The sequence below is a fragment of the Homo sapiens genome, chromosome 3 (assembly GCF_000001405.40).
Source record: "Homo sapiens chromosome 3, GRCh38.p14 Primary Assembly".
Classification (NCBI taxonomy): Eukaryota; Metazoa; Chordata; class Mammalia; order Primates; family Hominidae; genus Homo; species Homo sapiens.
In genome coordinates, this window is record NC_000003.12 from 170,278,371 (window position 1) to 170,297,966 (window position 19,596).

The 19,596-nt window shown below is 39.6% G+C and overlaps 1 protein-coding gene across 3 annotated transcripts in view; it reads left to right on the forward strand.

The window, feature by feature from the left end:
- Positions 1-19,596, forward strand: part of PRKCI (protein kinase C iota) — an 83,554-nt gene that overhangs the window by 55,947 nt on the left and 8,011 nt on the right. For 2 of the 3 annotated variants that reach the window (NM_002740.6, XM_047448575.1), the window contains 8 exons: positions 1,857-2,033; positions 2,796-2,893; positions 3,512-3,598; positions 6,091-6,226; positions 13,484-13,571; positions 15,013-15,138; positions 17,541-17,620; positions 18,934-19,023. In NM_002740.6, the coding sequence (NP_002731.4) occupies positions 1,857-2,033; positions 2,796-2,893; positions 3,512-3,598; positions 6,091-6,226; positions 13,484-13,571; positions 15,013-15,138; positions 17,541-17,620; positions 18,934-19,023 (882 nt within the window). Of the gene's footprint in view, positions 1-1,856; positions 2,034-2,795; positions 2,894-3,511; positions 3,599-6,090; positions 6,227-13,483; positions 13,572-15,012; positions 15,139-17,540; positions 17,621-18,933; positions 19,024-19,596 lie in introns of those variants that run through there. The other variant, XM_047448574.1, reaches the window with a different exon arrangement.

Consider the following 19,596-nt stretch of genomic DNA (forward strand, 5'->3'; position numbering starts at 1 on the left):
ACCTGAAGGTTGGGTGTGGCAGCTCACACCTATAATCCTAGGACTTTAGACCGGGAGGATCATTTGAGGCCAGTAGTTCAGGACCAGCCTTGGCAACATAGCAAGACCCTCCATGTCTACAAAAAATAAATAAAAATTAGCCGGGTTTGGAGGCACATGCCTGTAGCCCCAGCTACTTGGGAGACTGAGGCAGGAGGATCACTTGAGCCCAGGAGTTCATGGCTGCAGTGAGCTATGTTCGTGCCACTGCACTGCAGCCTGGGTGACAGAACAAGACCTTTTCTTAAATAAATAAATAAATGAAGGAAGGAATAAAGGAATACCTAAGGCTGGGTAATTTATACAAGATTTATTTGGTGCACGGTTCTGCAGGCTGATCAGTAAGTATTGCACTAGCATCTGCTTCTCAGGAAGCTTTCAGTCTTGGCAGAAGGCAAAGGGGAAGCAGGTGTGCCACATGGCAAGAGAGGGAGCAAGGGAGTCAGGGGAGGTGCCACACTCTGAACTCACTCATTACACAGGAACACACCAAGCCATTCATGAGGAATCTGTCCCTGTGACCCAAACACCTCCCACTAGGGATCACATTTCAGCATGAGATTTGAGATTTGGAGGGGTCAGATATACAAACTATCACCTTGTTACCAAATCAAATTATTATTATTATTACTATTATTGACAGGGTCTCACTTTGTGATGCAGGCTGGAGCGCACTGGCACAATCACAGCTCACTGCAACCTTGACCTGCCTGGCTCAGGTGATCCTCCCACCTCAGCCTCCCAGGTAGCTGGGACTACAGTGCACACCACCAACATCCGGCTAATTTTTGTATATTTTGGTAGAGATGAGGTTTCTTGGCACATTGCCCAGGCTGGTCTTGAACTCCTGGGCTCAATCAGTCCACCTGCTTCAGCCTCCCTAAGTGCTGAAAATACAGGCATGAGCCACTGTGCGCAGCCTAAATTATTATTTCTAAGTTTTTAAGTTGTCATTCTCACTCAGTTTTTCTAATACCCTTCTTTCAGTTTTGTGCTTGCGGGTTTCTTTATCTTTCTCAAAATTTACTATTTGCTTTTCTTGGTATTCTTCACTTCAGAGATTTCATACTTTATTCTCATGGGTCCATTGTGTGCTGATGATTTTGCAGGCATCTAATAAAAGACTGTCTTCAGGCTTCTCTGTAAATTGCTAGAAGCTTACATTTGTAGTTGTGAATGAATTTTAAGGCTTACTTTGTCGTCCCAAAGGGGTCTTGGTATTCTGTGGAAAAGAATGTCTTCCATTCGCTGAACTACTTCATGCTTGTTTTCTGTCTATAGCATCCAAAAACGCCTCTGAATGTGTGCTCTCACTAGCTTACATTCTATGTATCAAGCTTCCAGCAGACTCTTTCATCTTGATGTCTCATTATAACTTCTGAATTTATCATGAAAAACCCAATCGTTCTCTCCAGTAACTTTGTCAATCTTATCCTAGCCACACACTTGACGTTCCCTGTCAGTGGTACCCCCAATCTCTTGGTCACCAAGGTTAATGTGTTTTTTTAATTCCTGCATCTCTATTGCCTCTGTACCCAAAAGTTATCGTATCCTTTTTAAGACATCCTTCGATGTTTTTGTGATTTCAACTCCCTCCCCATTCTTATTACCATCCCTCTTATCTCAAAATTCATCCATATAATCTGGATAGTTAGATTATTTGGTTTGGAATGACATTTGAAAAATATTAAGAACTTAAAATATTTTTATGTTAGGAAAATATCTTTAAATCGTTATAGGTACAACTAGGTGTTAGAAATATAATGTACTACGCAAAGCATTTCCCATTATAACTCTGATACAAATGTTCTCAACAGGCAATGAACACCAGGGAAAGTGGCAAAGCTTCATCCAGTCTAGGTCTTCAGGATTTTGATTTGCTCCGGGTAATAGGAAGAGGAAGTTATGCCAAAGTACTGTTGGTTCGATTAAAAAAAACAGATCGTATTTATGCAATGAAAGTTGTGAAAAAAGAGCTTGTTAATGATGATGAGGTAAGCACTGCATATTTTATTGCTTCTAAACTGCTTGAGAATACTATTCTTTTTTTTTTTTGAAACGGAGTTTCGCTCTTGTCACCCAGCCTGGAGTGCTAGTGGTGCAATCTTGGCTCACTGCAACCTCTGCCTCCCAGGTTCAAGTGATTCTCCTGCCTCAGCCTCCCAAGTAGCTGGGATTACAGGCATGCACCACTATGCCCAGCTAATTTTTGTATTTTTAGTAGAGATGGGGTTTCACCATGTTGGCCAGGCTGCTCTTGAACTCCTGACCTCAAGTGATCCACCCGCCTCAGCCTCCCAAAGTTGCTAGGAATATAGGCGTGAGCCACCGCACCCAGCCAAGAGTACTATTTTAAAGAAAACCTCTATGTTTGTGCTTTATTATCTCATTCTGCTTTTCTAAATATGTGCTAAGTAAATGAAATATATTATTTCGGTTTACTTTTCTTATAGATGGTATAAGATATTTAAAGTAATTTGATTATTAGATTTTTTTAAAAAAACAAAAATCAAACCACATTATTATCAGGAGAAATACTTGAGCTTTGTAAAAGTTTTCTAGACAGTTTTATAATACTGAAAGATTGACTAGTGTTATTTTTCTCTTTGTATGTAAATTTTCGTTTCATGATTATCAATGGTTTTGATATTTAGCCTAGTTAACCATTGCATTTGTGACCATTGAATTGCTCAGAGCAAATTTATCATTAATTGTGATATCAGTTTGACATAGATTTCTTACATGTTTCAAAATAGGATATTGATTGGGTACAGACAGAGAAGCATGTGTTTGAGCAGGCATCCAATCATCCTTTCCTTGTTGGGCTGCATTCTTGCTTTCAGACAGAAAGCAGGTAAGATTGAAAGATAGTAGAATGATTACTGGGCTTCATATTTTTGGTCATATTACACAGTTAGAACCTTTCTGCCCTAATTCATGAAGTTGATATCATGGAGGATGCAACAGTGTTAGGCTTATAACTTCCTGCTAATAATACTGCCATCAGTGATATCAGTTTGATATTAGATCAGCATTAGGAAATGACCTACTTTAGGCAGAACAGGAAATAGCCATGTCGTAATTATGGCAGTAGAAATCCAACCTTTTAAATATCCCCAGTATTCTAGTTTTATGACTTAAAATTTTCTAGCATTTAACAAGGAGGAAAAATACCTTGACAGTCGAAAATGACTTATTTAGCAAATGCTAAAATTAGGATGGTAATGAGTGGCTCTGGATTGCAAGTGGTACTACTTTAGAACAGAAGTAGTAGGTTACAAAATTATTATCATGCTGGTTTACTTTCTCGTATGTTCCGTACCCTAGATACCCTTTGTTTCCACCAAAATTTTGGCATCTTTTTAAAGGCTAAATAGTAGAGAATGCTCTCTGTTGTGATGGTTTCTGAAAATGCAAAGTTACACTACCTTATTTTGGATCTTGATTTCATGGGTTCTCTCCTGTGTTTTAGATTGTTCTTTGTTATAGAGTATGTAAATGGAGGAGACCTAATGTTTCATATGCAGCGACAAAGAAAACTTCCTGAAGAACATGCCAGGTGAGTTTTTGTTTACTGTTTGTGTTGTTTTCTTTTTGGGGCCATGTGGCTTTTTATGTGCAGTGGTTGGAAACAGTAGATAAATAATTTATTTTGATACTAGTTAATTATTTGTAAGTCATGCAGAGGCTGAGCTAAAAGTTAATTTACATTATATATATGTAAAACAATTATATATTCTTTTACATTTATACACATACATGTACATACACATGCACACAGTGCTTCCTAAGCAATTGAAAAGTGTGAACAGTATTAAAAGGCAAACCTTTAGTCTGCTAAAACCAATCCTTTTCAAATATTATGTCTATGTAGCATCAGCCATTTAAATAATTGAGACTAATAAACACTTATTAGTCTTTTCAGGTTTGTAGTGGTCTCTCAGAGAGTTCTTCACGATAAGAGTGCTATTCATACATACTTGAGAGTAATTAAACGATCCCTCTGGCTGGGCACAGTGGCTCACACCTCTAATCCCAGCACTTTGGGAGGCTGAGGCGGGCGGATCACCTGAGGTCAGGAGTTTGAGACCAGCCTGGCCAACATGGTGAAACCCTGTCTCTACTAAAAATACAAAAATTTGCTGGTCGTGGTGGCGGGTGCCTGTAATCCCAGCTACTCAGGAGGCTGAGGCAGGAGAATTGTCTGAACCCGGAAGGCGGAGGTTGCAGTGAGCCCAGATCGCACCACTGCACTCCAGCCTGGCCAACAGAGCAAGACTCTGTCTCAAAAAAAAAAAAAAAAGATCCCTCTTAAACTAGTATATACTTCTGACTGTTCTTCCTGTGATTTATTGTTCTTTGGCTTTTTTTTCCTCTAATCCCATAATTATTGATGAATAAAATAATATCGAATAGGCCAGGCGCAGTGGCTCATGCCTGTAATCCCAGCACTTTGGGAGGCCGAGGCGGGTGGATCATGAGGTCAAGAAATCGAGACCATCCTGGCCAACATGGTGAAACCCCATCTCTACTAAAAATATAAAAATTAGCCGGGCGTGGTGGCGGGCACCTGTGGTCCCAACTACTTGGGAGGCTGAATTAGGAGAATCGCTTGAGCCCGGGAGGCGGAGGTTGCAGTGAGCTGAGATTGCGCCACTGCACTCCAGCCTGGGTGAAAGAGCGAGACTCCGTCTCAAAAAAAAAAAAAAAAGTATTGAATATTAATTTTGTGCCCTTAATTTGATATTAATATACAAGACTGTAAATTGTTTATGTGTTGGATGGAGGAGATAGGTGGGAAGGGATCATGGCCTTGAGTAAAAAGTTTAATCCATCAGTACCATGTTTTGTTTCTTATCCGTAATCAGCAGTAATTCTCACCCTTTCCTACTTCACAAGAGTAATGCCAAAATGAAGCATGTGAGTTTGTATATGTATGTTATTATCATGCAGGGAATAAATATTAGAAATTTCATTTAAATTAAAAACTTGTAGAAAATTTGCTACTTCATTATTGCTTGTCAAAAATTTCATAAGAAGATATAAATTGTACTTGTCTAATCTTGAGGCCAACCTGGGTTTTTTGTTTATTTGGGTTTTTTTGTTGTTGTTTTGGTGTTCATTTATGTTCATTGTGTATTTATGCCTTATCAAATGGTCACCCTTCATAGAGCCACAGATGATATTTTGAATTGTGAACATAGCCAATATTTGTTCCTTGTTTGTTCAGTTGAATGTGGGAAAGCTAGTCTGGTTTTTACTATATTAATGTGCCAGTTTTGGTTTTATACCATCTTTGCTTTTGTAAGAACTAAAGCCCAGGACAAGGGCTTAAGTTCCCAAATCACGGAATTAAGTAGCTAGGAGGTGTATGTTACGTACCTCCACACATGATCATGATAATGTGCCACCAAAGCAGCCATACATCAGCTCAGGCATTCCATTTTCATTATTCAGGCCAAAAGTTCTGGGTTGTCACCAGTGAGTTGGTAGCAGTTTTTTTAAGTTCTTCATTTAATATTAAATTTTACAGTTGTTTATAGTTGTAGAATATTTTCATTTAATTCCTTTTCTAAAACCTTCATGAGGATTTTATAGTATTGAGTAGTCAGCTTGTAGTATTCTTTCTATTCTCGACCCCATTAGTGGTTCTTAGCCTTCTCGGAGGATCACGGGTCCCTTAGAGAAGTGATGAAAGCTTTGAGGACTCTGTAGATACTGTGCATGTACATACGGGCATACACCTTTGCCCCCAGTTGTAGAAGTATGGACTGCCTGAAGTTCACCCAAGGACCCAGATTGAGAACCCCTGTTTGAGACTATCAAATTAATAGCTTTATGAAAAATGTGAGTTTAAGTTAGACAGGAACTTTTACAATTGTGTCTTGGGCTCAGATGTTTTAAAGTGGTACTTCAGTTCATTTTTCAAATTTGTTCCTAAAATCACTGGGAGAAAAAAATATGTTTTAATATGAATTTTTGTGTTTCCAGTTGTAAATGTAGAACTTAAATATGGTTGAATCAAATGACTTATTTTTTATTTAATTTTAGATTTTACTCTGCAGAAATCAGTCTAGCATTAAATTATCTTCATGAGCGAGGGATAATTTATAGAGATTTGAAACTGGACAATGTATTACTGGACTCTGAAGGCCACATTAAACTCACTGACTACGGCATGTGTAAGGTGAGGAAAATTTTCTAGTTATTTTAAAAGGTCTTCAGCAGCTAGTAGTCTTTGTAAAATAACTTCATGTTTAAAGATGAGGAAATGATTACTAATTTTGCTAATTTACTTAAGCTTTGTGGAATTCTAGCACAAAGACAAATGTACTTTTTTTCTAACCATTTGCAAAATTTGTATCTTCTGTGTTATGTGTACTACAATAAGAGCTAATTTCTTTTTATTATACATAACTTTTTATCTTGAAAGTTGAAATACAATTGAAGACAATTTGGAAATAAAAATTGTCTGCAATTCCACTACTTAACACAACCATTTGCATATGACCTTCCAATTTTTGCCATTTAGTAGTGAATCTTATATAATGCATTCAGGATTTTCCTCAGAAGTCAAACATTTTTTATATTTAAATTTTAAACATCTGACATAAAGCATAATAGGATAAAACAAGAATTTCAGTTACTCCCGGAATATGTCTTCATTTCTTTTTTTTTTTTTTTTTTTGAGACAGGGTCTTGCTCTGTCCCCCAGGCTGGAGTGCAGTGGCGCAATCTCGGCTCAGTGCCAGCTCCGCCTCCCGGGTTGACGCCATTCTCCTGCCTCAGCCTCCCGAGTAGCTGGGACTACAGGCGCCTGCCACCACGCCCAGCTAAGTTTTTGTATTTTTAGAAGAGACGGGGTTTCACCATGTTAGCCAGGATGATCTCAATCTCCTGATCTCATGATCCGCCTGCCTCAGCCTCCCAAAGTGCTGGGATTACAGGCGTGAGCCATCGCGCCTGGCCTATTTCTTGATGTTTTATTCTTTTATAACAGTGTTCCATTTTAAATGTCTGATATTTTCCCACTAAATGTGTAAGGAACTATTCCTTGTTAAGGTAACTGGTACAAAATTATCCTCACATAGCAATACAACAACCAGTATGTAAATGTGTGAATTGCATTCCCTGTTCACCTGTGGGAAGTGCCTCCAGAGCCTGGAGATTATCTAAATGCTAACAACATGGCATATGACAACCTAGTTGTATCGAAGATTTAACTTTATTATCTGTTCAGCATGCATTAAAGAATAAAATCTTCACTTAAACTATGTTTGCTTTTATGTACAGAATTCAACCGTACTTTTCACATGATACTTATTAATTAATTATTGTTGTTTTTTTTTTTTGGAGACAGAGTCTCGCTCTGTCGTCCAGGCTGGAGTGCAATGGCACAATCTTGGCTCACTGCAACCTCCGCCTCCTGGATTCAAGCCGTTCTCCAGCCTCAGCCTTCCAAGTAGCTGAGATTAAGGTGCGCCCCACCATCCCTGGCTAATTTTAATTTTTTTTTTTTTTTTTTAATTTTTGAGACAGAGTTTTGCTCTTATTGCCCAGGCTGGAGTACAATGGCACAATCTCGGCTCACTGCAACCTCCACCTCCCAGGTTCAAGCAATTCTCCTGCCTCAGCCTCCTGAGTAGCTGGGATTACAGGCACCTGCCACCATGCCCGGCTAATTTTTTTGTATTTTTAGTAGAGACGGGGTTTCACCATGTTGGCCAGGCTGGTCGCGAACTCCTGACCTCAGGTGATCCACCCGCCTCAGCCTCCCAAAGTGCTGGGATTACAGATGTGAGCCACCATGCCCGGCCCTTACGTATTTATATTATACAAGTTTTCAATCATAAACAATTAGAAAGCTTAGCGAGTGGAACCCCTATGTACCTATCACTTATATTTGTGGTACCTTTTTGATCTCTGTGTCATTTTTTTTCCTAAGGGATTTTTTTCTCATTTCAGAAAAAAGTGACAGTGATAGAGGAGTCTTATCCCCAAGAATAAATGAAACTGAACAAAAAACATGGAGAGTATTACCCTTCATACGAAGTGCACAAATTAAAACAATGAGGCTTTTTTTTTTTTTTTTTTTTTTGCCTGTGAGATACGGGTTTTAAAGTTAGAATAGCCTGTATGTACAAGAGTTTAAAGAAATGGGCATATGTCACTGGTGTGTATATAAATTGTTACAAACCTTTTGAGAAGCAGTTTGATGGGGGAATTATCAGGAATCCTAAAGATGGCCATGTTCTTTGATCCGGTAATTCTGCCCTTGGATATTCTGAGTAAATATTTTGGTTTATGAGGAGAGATTTCTGACCAAAACTTTTATTGTAGTTTATGATCAATATTATAAAGTCATTTAAGAAGATCTTTATTTTTATTTTATTTTTACTTTCTTTTTTTTTTTTTTAAATAGAGACGAGGTCTCGCTGTGTTGCCCAGGCTCGTCTCAAACCCAAGAGTTCATAATGTTAGCATTTAGATAATCTCCAGGCTCTGGAGGCACTTTCCTCAGGTGAATGGGGAATGCAGTTCATACATTTACATATTTGTCATGTTACTATGTGAGGATAATTTTGTTCCAGTTAACAAGGAAAGCAAGCCACCACGCCCGACTGAAGATATTTGTAAAAAATACATAACACATGATGGCTCAGACCTGTAATCCCAGCAATTTGGGAGGCCGAGGCAGGCAGATTGCTGGAGCTCAGAAGTTCGACACCAGCCTGGGCAACATGGCAAAACTCCATCTCTACAAAAAATAGGAAAATTACACTGGGTTGGTTGTGCTTGTAGTCCCAGCTACTTGGGAGGCTGAGATGGGGGGATCACTTGAGCCTGGGGCTGTAGTGAGCTGTAATCGCGCCACTGCACTCCAGTCTGGGTGACAGAGTGAGATCCTATCTAAAATATATATATATATAGAGAGAGAGAGAGTAATAAATATATATATGTATATACATAATGCTTATAACAGATGAAGTCTTAACATATAGAATTGTCTGATTCTTTTATGTATCATTCTGTTATGTAGCATCACACGTTGATTCTGTTTACTTTTCAGCATTTTTCAAGTTGTTATTTTAAAATGTTATGTTAAATGTGGTTACCAATTGCATTACAGTACACTAATGCATTTTAATAACATTTTAAAATGTTATTTTTAAATAACACCTTTAATGGAATCACTGCATTGTTTAAACAATCAAAATGGGCAGGGTGTGATGGCTCACACCTGTAATCTCAGCACTTTGGGAGGCCCGGCAGGCAGATCACTTGAGGTCAGGAGTTTGAGACCAGCCTGGCCAACATGGTAAAATCTTGTCTCTACTAAAAACACCAAAAGATTAGCTGGGCATGGTGGCACACCTGTGGTCCCAGCTACTCAGGAGACTAAGGCAGGAGAATTGCTTGAACCTGGAGGCAGAGGTTGCAGTGAGTGGAGATTGTGCCACTGCACTCCAGTCTGGGTGACAAAGTGAGACTCTGTCTCAAAAAAAAAAAAAAAAAAAAAAGAAAATCACAAAAATGAATTAAGACTTTTCTCTTGGCCGGGTGCGGTGGCTTGCACCTGTAATCCCAGCATTTTGGGAGGCCGAGGCAGGCGGATCACAGGTCAGGAGATTGAGACCATCCTGGCTAACATGGTGAAACCCCGTCTCTACTAAAAATACAAAAAAATTAGCCAGGCGTGGTGGCGGACGCCTGTAGTCCCAGCTACTCGGGAGGCTGAGGCAGGAGAATGGCGAGAACCCGGGAGGCGGAGCTTGCAGTGACCCGAGATCGCGCCACTGCATTCCAGCCTGGGCAACAGAGTGAGACTACGTCTCAAAAAAAAAAAAAGGACTTTTCTCTTTTTGTCTTTCTTAGTCTTTTGTTACTCTTACTGGAAAATAATATTGGCTTCTTATACATTTTCATTTCTTACAGGGATCCTCAATCAAGTTAGTCAAGGTGTTTCATAAATCTGAGATCTTTATCGAGTAGGTCTTTAAATCAAATGTCCTCCTACCTCCCTTTCTGCCTTTCCTCCTTCTCCAAGAGCTGCCTAGGGCGGGTGCAGTGGCTCACGCCTATAATTCCAGCACTTTGGGAGGCCAAGGCAGGCGGATTACTTGAGGTCAGGAGTTTGAGACCAGCCTGGCCAACATGGTGAAAACCCATCTCTGCTAAAACCACAAAAACTAGCCAGGTGTGGTGGCGAGTGCCTGTAATCCCAGCTACTTGGGAGGCTGAGGCAGAAGAATCTCTTGAACCTGGGGTGGGGTGGAGATTGCAGTGAGCTAAGATCACACCACTGCACTGCACTCCAGACTGGGCAACAGAGTGAGACTCCGCCTCAAAATATATACATATAAAATAAAATAAAAAATAAAGCTTATGAGAAATTAACCCTCCAAAAGTTTGAATGCTCTTTTATGACTTAGTGTCAATATTTAACTTACCTGAAGCTTGACTTCATGCAAGTGTTGGATGAATTTCTTTATAAAGATTGCAGAGGATAGTGATGAAAACTTGAATTAGTATCTTTAGAGTTATGTTTGAAATATTTTATGAACGTTGATTTTATTAAGTGGCAGCCTTTCGTGGTTTTATGAACTGATGTGCCTTTAAGTGTTTTTTTCATCAACAGAGGAATTCTAATAATATCTGTTATGCTGCAGAAAACTTAGCAAATGGACCTACATTCTGACATTCAGTCAACAAGTGAATGATTAAGCATAGCTGTTACAAGTTAACAGACTACATCTCTTACCTCTGACTATTGTACTGAAAGTACATGTCATTTTTCATGAGAATGTATTGCCGTTGCCAATAATAGAAAACAATAAAAACCATATTCATATTTCTAAAAATAGCATATAATATCCCTTTTAGAAATCATTTTAAAATTCTTGGAGTCACAACATATTACTAAATATTTCTTCTAGATGTTTATAGCAGTGTTATATATAACAGGGTGAAATTTGAAGAAAAATATGTTCACCATGCCCAGAATGTCTCTGGAGGGCCACATAATAGTGGTTGCCTCTAGGGAGCTGGAACTGGGTGAGTCAGGGACAAGAATGGAAGGAAGGGCCGGGCACAGTGCTCACGCCTGTAATCGCAGCACTTTGGGAGGCTAAGGTGAGTGAATCACCTGAGGTCAGGAGTTTGAGACCAACCTGGCCAACATGGCAAAACCCCATCTCTACTAAAAATACAAAAAGCCAGAGGCTCGGCACAGTGGCTCACTCCTGTAATCCCAGCACTTTGGGAGGCCGAGGCGGGTGGATCACTTGAGGTCAGGAGTTCGAGACCAACCTGACCAACATGGTGAAACCCCGTCACTACTAAAAATAAAAAATTAGGTGGGCGTGGTGGTGCATATCTGTAATCCCAGCTACTTGGGAGGCTGAGGCAGGAGAATCGCTTGAACCTGGGAGGCAGAGGTTGCAGTGAGCCGAGATCGCACCATTGCACTCCAGCCTGGGTAACGAGCGAAACTCCATCTTAAAAGAAGAAAAAAAAGCCAGGCGTGGTTGCATGCACCTGTAATCCCAGCTACTTGGGAGGCTGAGGCGTGAGAATCACTTGAACCTGGGAGACAGAGGTTGCAATGAGCCAAGATCACGCCACTGAACTCCAGCCTGGATGACAGAGCGAAACTCGGTCTCAAAAAAAAAAAAAAGGAAGGCTTGAGTTTTGTGCTGCCCCTCTTTTTTGGTTTAGAATTTTGTACCGTATAATCTATAGGAAAGTGGTTAAGTTCTAGGTACATATGTTCTGTTGAATTTCATATAGTTGTTAATATTAGAAAGTCTTCGGTTGTGTAGGAAATGCTTACAAAGTTTTAAAACATGCTTAATTATGTATGATTCAGTTGTCTTTAGACTTTTTTATTGTTGATTTTTTTTTTATTTGCCTTTTGGCCAGAGAATGGTTTGAATATTAGTTCATTGGAATACATTGAGATTTCCTTTATGACCTAATATATGGCCAGTAGCCCATGTGTACTTAAAAGGATATATAATCTTTACATGCAGGGAGTCTCTCTCTCTAATGTCTCTCTTCCTTCTCCCTCACTCCACACACACATATAGACGTACATATATTCTACATGTATATGTATTTTGTATATATATATATATATTTTAACTCTAGCTTTTTTCCAAATCTTTCTCTGCCTACTGATTTTTAGTATGTGTGATCTATCATTTTCTAATATAGATTATTCTCATATTAACTTCTCCTATTATGATTGGAGATTGTGAAATTCTCCTAATAATTTTGTCCTTTTTTACTCTTTGTATTTTGAGGCCATGTTGTTGAGTGTATGCAAGTGTATATTTGTTACAATTTCTTGGTGATTGTCCCATTAATTATTGGGTAGTTCCTTTACTCTGCCTGTTAGTGTGTTTTGCCTTATTTTTTTTCCATCCTACAGCTATTAAAATACAGGCCCGGCATGGTGGCTTATGCCTGTAATCCCAGCACTTTGGGAGGCCGAGGTGGGCAGATCATCTGGTCAGGAGTTTGAGACCAGCCTGAGCAACATGGAGAAACCCCATTTTCTACTAAAAATACAAAATTAGTTGGGTGTGGTGGCACACGCCTATAATCTCAGCTACTCTGGAGGCTGAGGCAGGAGAATTGCTTGAATCCGGGAGGCGGAGGTTGCAGTGAGCTGACATTGTGCCATTGCACTCCAGCCTGGGCAACAAAGTGAAACTCTGTCTCCAAAAAAAAAAAAGTGTTCTTAGGAAAAATAAACAGAAGGAAAATATTGTAGTCTTATCAATGGTTGTATTAGGAGGTGAGATTTAAAGTGCTTCTTTTCTTCATGAAATATGCCTTATTCTACTAATATTAAAATTTTGTTATTAAATTTTAACTTGTATGTAAATTATTTTAAATTCAAGTCGTACCTTAATTGAATCAACTCTAGCAACATCTAATGAGGACAGGTTTTCTTCAAGCTATTTAGTGGTGATCTGTGATTTTAATAATAAAGGCAGTTGCCAGGCATGATGGCTCATGCCTGTAATCCCAGCACTTTGGGAGGCCGAGGCAGGTGGATCACTTGAGGCCAGGAGATCGAGACCAGCCTGGCCAACATGGTGAAACCCTGTCTCTACTAAAAATACAAAAATTAGCTGGGTGTGTTGGTGCATGCCTGTAATTCCAGCTACTCAGGAGGCTGAGACACAAGAATTGCTTGAACCCAGGAGGTGGAGGTTGTAGTGAGCTGAGATCGTGCCACTGCATGCCAGCCTGGGCGACAGAGCAAGACCCTGTCAAAAATAATAATAATAATAAAGGCAATTGTTCTAGTGATGTTAAGTGAGCTTAATGTATCACTGCAGATGCTGAACTTATATGATAGGTGAAATAGAAAGGGTGAATTTAAAACAGAACTTTTTATCTCATTCTTTCTTTCTGTTCTTTTTAATAAAAGGAAGGATTACGGCCAGGAGATACAACCAGCACTTTCTGTGGTACTCCTAATTACATTGCTCCTGAAATTTTAAGAGGAGAAGATTATGGTAATAAATAAATTGGTGGTATTATTTTAGCTATTGCTAGATGGGTGGTAAAATGTGGTACCAATTGCATTACAGTACACTAATGCATTTTGACGTGATCTTATTAATATAAGGATTCTTGATCCTGTTAAAAACTACATGGAGAGTCCCAGACTTTGAAATCGAGACAGTGGGACCTTGGCAGTATTTGGGGGTACCAAGCTGAATAATATTTTATTAGTGGCAAACACTAAACAGTAGCAGGCACTATTCTAAGCAGTTTACATATATTAACTAAGTTAATCCTCTTAACAACCCTGTGAGGTAAGTACTATTAATTCTCCTTTTACAGTTGAAGAAACTGACATACGGAAAGTTTAAATAACTCGCCTAAGGTCAAGGATTCAGAACAGCACCCATGTGACTCCAGAGTCATGAACCCCTGGAAAATTTTTCAGATTTCCTGGGATATTTGCCCCAGGAATCTGAAAGATGGTGGAAAGATTAACTGTATCTCAGGCACCCGAAGATACACTTATCTTGAGAAAACATTTGACTTTTTGGGTTTTGGCCCTCTGCCTTCAGCAGATATAAAGGACAATGTGGTACTTGTGAGAGCTGCTCAAAGTCTGAATCCACTGTCCTTCACTGGTCTTTATCAGCTAGCAAAAGATCAAGTTTAAGACCAAGGAGGCAGGAGAATGGCGTGAACCCGGGAGGCGGAGCTTGCAGTGAACCGAGATTGTGCCACTGCACTCCAGCCTGGGCGACAGAGTGAAACTCTGTCTCAAAAAAAAAAAAAAAGCCCCTGTCCACACCTCCAGCAGTTGCCAACATATAGCCGGGCGCGGTGGCTCACACCTGTAATCCCAGCACTTTGGGAGGCCGAGGCAGGCGGATCACGAGGTCAGGAAATCGAGACCATTCTGGCTAACATGGTGAAACCCTGTCTCTACTGAAAACACAAAAAATTAGCCGGGCGTGTTCACAGGTGCCTGTAGTCTCAGCTACTCGGGAGGCCGAGGCAGGAGAATGGCGTGAACCCGGGAGGTGGAGCTTGCAGTGAGCCGAGATTGCACCACTGCACTCCAGCCTGGGCGACAGAGTGAGACCCCATCTCAAAAAAAAAAAAAAAAAGACCAAGGAGATTACTCTGAAATACAATTTAATTATATCCTCAACACACAATATTAGATATTGGGCATGAGTCTGAAAGTAGAAATACATGGAGAAAGAAAGTTTTTTTTTCTCATAATTTTATTTTTAAAATTATCTTTTAGGTACCTACCCTTGTTGATAAATGAAGCATTTCTATAATCTTCAGTGCCTACCATGATAGTTGGAATGCATTTAGAGTTTACTTTTTCATTGTTTCTTTTTCCTTTATGTGATAAAATTTCCAGTTACTAACTTTCAAGAATGCAAAGTGTATAATTTATTGCTTTAAAATTTCTTTCTGAAGGTTTCAGTGTTGACTGGTGGGCTCTTGGAGTGCTCATGTTTGAGATGATGGCAGGAAGGTCTCCATTTGATATTGTTGGGAGCTCCGATAACCCTGACCAGAACACAGAGGATTATCTCTTCCAAGGTAATTTGGAGTATTTTACAGAGATTCTCTGAGAAAAACCTATTCTAGAGTACAAATGAGAGTGATTCAGGTTACTACTTTGAGTAAGAAAAATGAGCATAATCTGGAAAATATAATCCTGACTGGTGGTATTAGGTTTTGTTGTTGTTTTTGTTTGTTTTTGAGACAAGGTCTCACTCTTTTGCCCAGGCTGGAGTGCAGGGGCGCAATCTCGGCTCCATGCAACCTCCACCTCCCTGGTTCAAGCAATTCTTCTGCCTCAGCCTCCCGAGTAACTGGGATTACAGGCACACTCCCGAGTAACTGGGATTACAGGCACACACCACTATGCCCGGCTAAATTTTGTATTTTTAGTAGAGACAGGGTCTCACCATGTTGGCCAGGCTGGTCTTGAACTCCTGACTTCAAGTGATCTGCCCACCTCAGCCTCCCCAGCATGCTGAGATTACAGGCATGAGCCACTGCACCTGGCCTCTGTGTATTAGGTTTTGATGTTTTTTAATACATTCTTTCTTTTCTATAGTCTTCACTCCTGTTCACAGTTACCTTCTCATACTCAAAATCATAACAGGGGTTATTTAGAATTATCCATCACAAACAGATTGGAGAAAGGAATCCTGTGGCTAGAGAGATAATCTTTACACAGGGACCCTGAGGCTGAGTGCATAAGTTCAAGAACAGTATGAGGGGAAAATAGAGCACCAAGATGATGAGTGATCAAAAGATGGGGAAAAAAGGCCCCACATCAGGGAATATACAGAATTGACAGAAACAAGCAGACAAGTGCAGGGACCTCTAGCACAGAATCCAAAGAAGTATGAAAACTACTATAAAATTCTACATTTAATAATTAAAGCCATCACAGGATATAAATAGGCATTTCATGCCCAAATGGCCATGGAATATGTGAAAAGACATTCAGTCTCACTAGCAATTAAGGGAATGCACATTAAATGTTAATGAGTTACCATTTCATATCGGTACATTTGATCAAAATATTAAAGTTGGGTAATACCAGTGCTGGTGAGGATGTGGAGCAACTGGAACTCTTCTAGACTGCTGGTAGGAATGAAAACTGACACAACAGCTTTAAAGAATAATTTGGCAGTGTCCAAAAAAATTGCATATTATATATGCTAAGCATTTTACAAATGTTAACTCATTTAAACCTCATAACAATCCTATGAAGTATTTTTTTATTCCTATTTTACAGATGAGGAAACTGAGGCATAATTAGGTAGTCAAAGAATAAGACATTCATGTAAATGATAAATAGTATTCAGATTAGAGGCTTTCTCTGAGAAGATGGGAAAAGAAGGGGTTTAGGAAAGTACAGGAGGCACTTCAGTTATATATGTAATATCTTATTTTTTTTCCTGGAATGCCTTAAATATCTTATAATAAAAATTTAAAGATTGCACCCAGGCATAGTGGCTCACATCTGTAATCCCAGCACTTTGGGAGGCCGAGATGGGCGGATCACTTGAGGTTAGGAGTTTGAGACCAGCCTGGCCAACATGGCAAAACCCCGTCTCTACTAAAAATAAAAAAAAATTAGCTGGGCGTCGTGGCGGGCACCTGTAATCCTAACTACTCAGGAGGCTCAGGCAGGAGAATCACTTCAGCCTGGAGGCGGAGGTTGCAGTGAGCTGAGATCGTGCCACTGCACTCCAGTCTGGGCAAGACAGTGACACTCTGTCTCAAAAAAAAAAGAAAAAAGAAATTTAAAGATTGCCAGGTGCAGTGGTTCACACCTGTAATCCCAGCACTTTGGGAGTCCAAGGCAGGAGGATTGCTTGAACCCAGGAGTTCAAGACCAGCTTGAGCAATATGGTGAGACCCTTATCTCTACAAAAAAATTTAAAATTAGCCAGCCATTGCTGGGCGCAGTGGCTCACACCTGTAATCCCAGCACTTTGGGAGGCTGAGGTGGGCGGATCACTTACCTTCATGAGGTCAGGAGTTTGAGACCAGCCCGGCCAGCATGGTGAAACCCCATCTCTACCAAAAACACAAAACTCACTGGGCATAGTGGCACACGCCTGTAATCCCAGCTACTCAGGAGGCTGAAGTGGTAGAAGCACTTGAACCCGGGAGGCAGAGGTTGCAGTGAGCTGAGATCGTGCCACTGTGCTCCAGCCTGGATGACAAAACAAGACTCCATCTCAAAAAAAAAAAAAAAAAAAATTTAGCCGAGCGTGATGGTGGCGCCTGTGGTCCCAGCTACTTGGGAGGTTGAGGTGGAAGGATTGCTTAAGCCCGGGAGGTCAAAGCTGCAGTGAGCTGTGATTGCATCACTGCACTCCAACCTGGGCAACAGAACAAGCCCCTTTCAAAAAAGAAGAAAAAAGATTAAAGCCATGTAAAAGTTAAATATAATACTATAATTTTTATCTTTCTAGTTATTTTGGAAAAACAAATTCGCATACCACGTTCTCTGTCTGTAAAAGCTGCAAGTGTTCTGAAGAGTTTTCTTAATAAGGTATAAATTGTGTATAAGAATATTTTGTGATTTGTCTCTTTCTATATATATCAAACTGGTCAGTAGCGGTTTGGGAAATGTAAAATTCCAAAACAGTAGAGAATGTAACTTTTTCAGTTTGACCCAGAATTTGTCTCTTACCCAAAGAGTAATTGACAGCATTAGATCCTGAGATAAGTTAGTTGTCCTTTCCATTTTGGCAATAAAATTTACTCCCCAGCTATATATTACATAATTTTTGTGTATGTGTAAATAATATATACCATATTCTCACATAGGGGAAGAGTTAATCTTTGGGTTTAGCCATAATTGTACTTTGAACTCTGTTTCCATTTTCTCTGTATCATTATCCATAGAATCTATTTATTACCATGTACTTTTTGAGCACGTGGGCCGCAGTGCTCCCTACAAATTCTCATGTCAAAAATGCTATAATTAGGTAAGATTCGGAAGAAATGAAATGCTATCTTTGGCTCTTAAAAATGTGAACATCATTCAATTGTTTGTTGCTGTTGGTAGGCTAGAGGAGTTTTAGGATCTAGGAGTGTGGTCTTGGCAATTATAAATTCTACTTTAAATAAATGGTATGATAGAAAAGTTGATGTACATTTACCTTCTAAGGTAAATAGATAAGATAATGAGTTTTAATAAAATAAGAAATTGAAGCCTTTTAAAAAATGAACAATTTATGTGAGGAAAGATTTAAACTTGAAACCTAATTTTTCACATAGTGAAAAATGAAGGCAAGAGGTGTTGATATGCAAAATAAAATACCTTTTATCAGAAAGAAAAATGGGAACATATTCTCATTCATAGTGATGAATAAGCCAAGACTTTTTATAAGTTGCAGGCTCCTCAGTCCAGTGATTCAGATAATGGTTGTATCATTGTCTTACACAGGTGGTGGTTTGTTGCTATAATTGGGCATGGGGATTTTAAATTAAGCTAAAAACAAACTTCTCATGAAGTTTGGAGGTTTGCATGTTTTGACTCTCACACTAGGTCATGCAAAGAAATGGCTGGGTGCTGTCAAATGATTCTGCTGTTCTCTTTTTCCTCCTGTTTTTCTTTAGCAAGGAATTGGTGATGATTCTCTGTTTTAATTACATGATGGGTGGAGAAAGTGCCTTGAGGAATCACAAGTTTCAAATAACTCAATTTGTTCTGGAGTTGTACTTTCTAGAAATAAAAGGTAGACCATTCCAACTTCAGAAATAAGAGTATCATGTGAGGGCACACAACACAGATCACAAAGATGATTTATTTTAAAGCATGACATTCACCCAATTCTTGAAACATTTCTTTCACCATAGGACCCTAAGGAACGATTGGGTTGTCATCCTCAAACAGGATTTGCTGATATTCAGGGACACCCGTTCTTCCGAAATGTTGATTGGGATATGGTATGTAAATTTTGATTACTCAACTATTAGGTTTCATTATTATCTTGGGCCAATTTTTTGTTGTTGTTCTGTTTGTTTTTAGACAGAGTCTTGCTCTGTCACCGAGGCTGGAGTACAATGGCACGATCTCAGCTCACTGCAACCTCCGCCTCGCGAGTTCAAGCAGTTCTGTCTCTGCCTCCCTAGTAGCTGGAATTACAGTCACTCACCACCATGCCCAGCTAATTTTTGTATTTTTAGTAGAGATGGGGGGGGTTTCACAATGTCGGCCAGGCTGGTCTCGAACTCCTGACCTCAGGTGATACACCCACCTCGGCCTCCCAAAGTGCTGGGATTACAGATGTGAGCCACCACACCCGGCCTATCTCGGGCCAAATTTTATTGTCTTAGCTAACATATCACAGCTTTAAAAACTTAAAACCACTTTCTAAACTGCTTTTTAGAAAACTTTTAAAACAAAAAAAAAATTCAATTTTTTTTTAATTTATTATTTTTTTTCTGAGACGGAGTCTCATTCTGTCACCCAGGCTGGAGTGCAGTAGTGTGATCTCTGCTCACTGCAACCTCCACCTC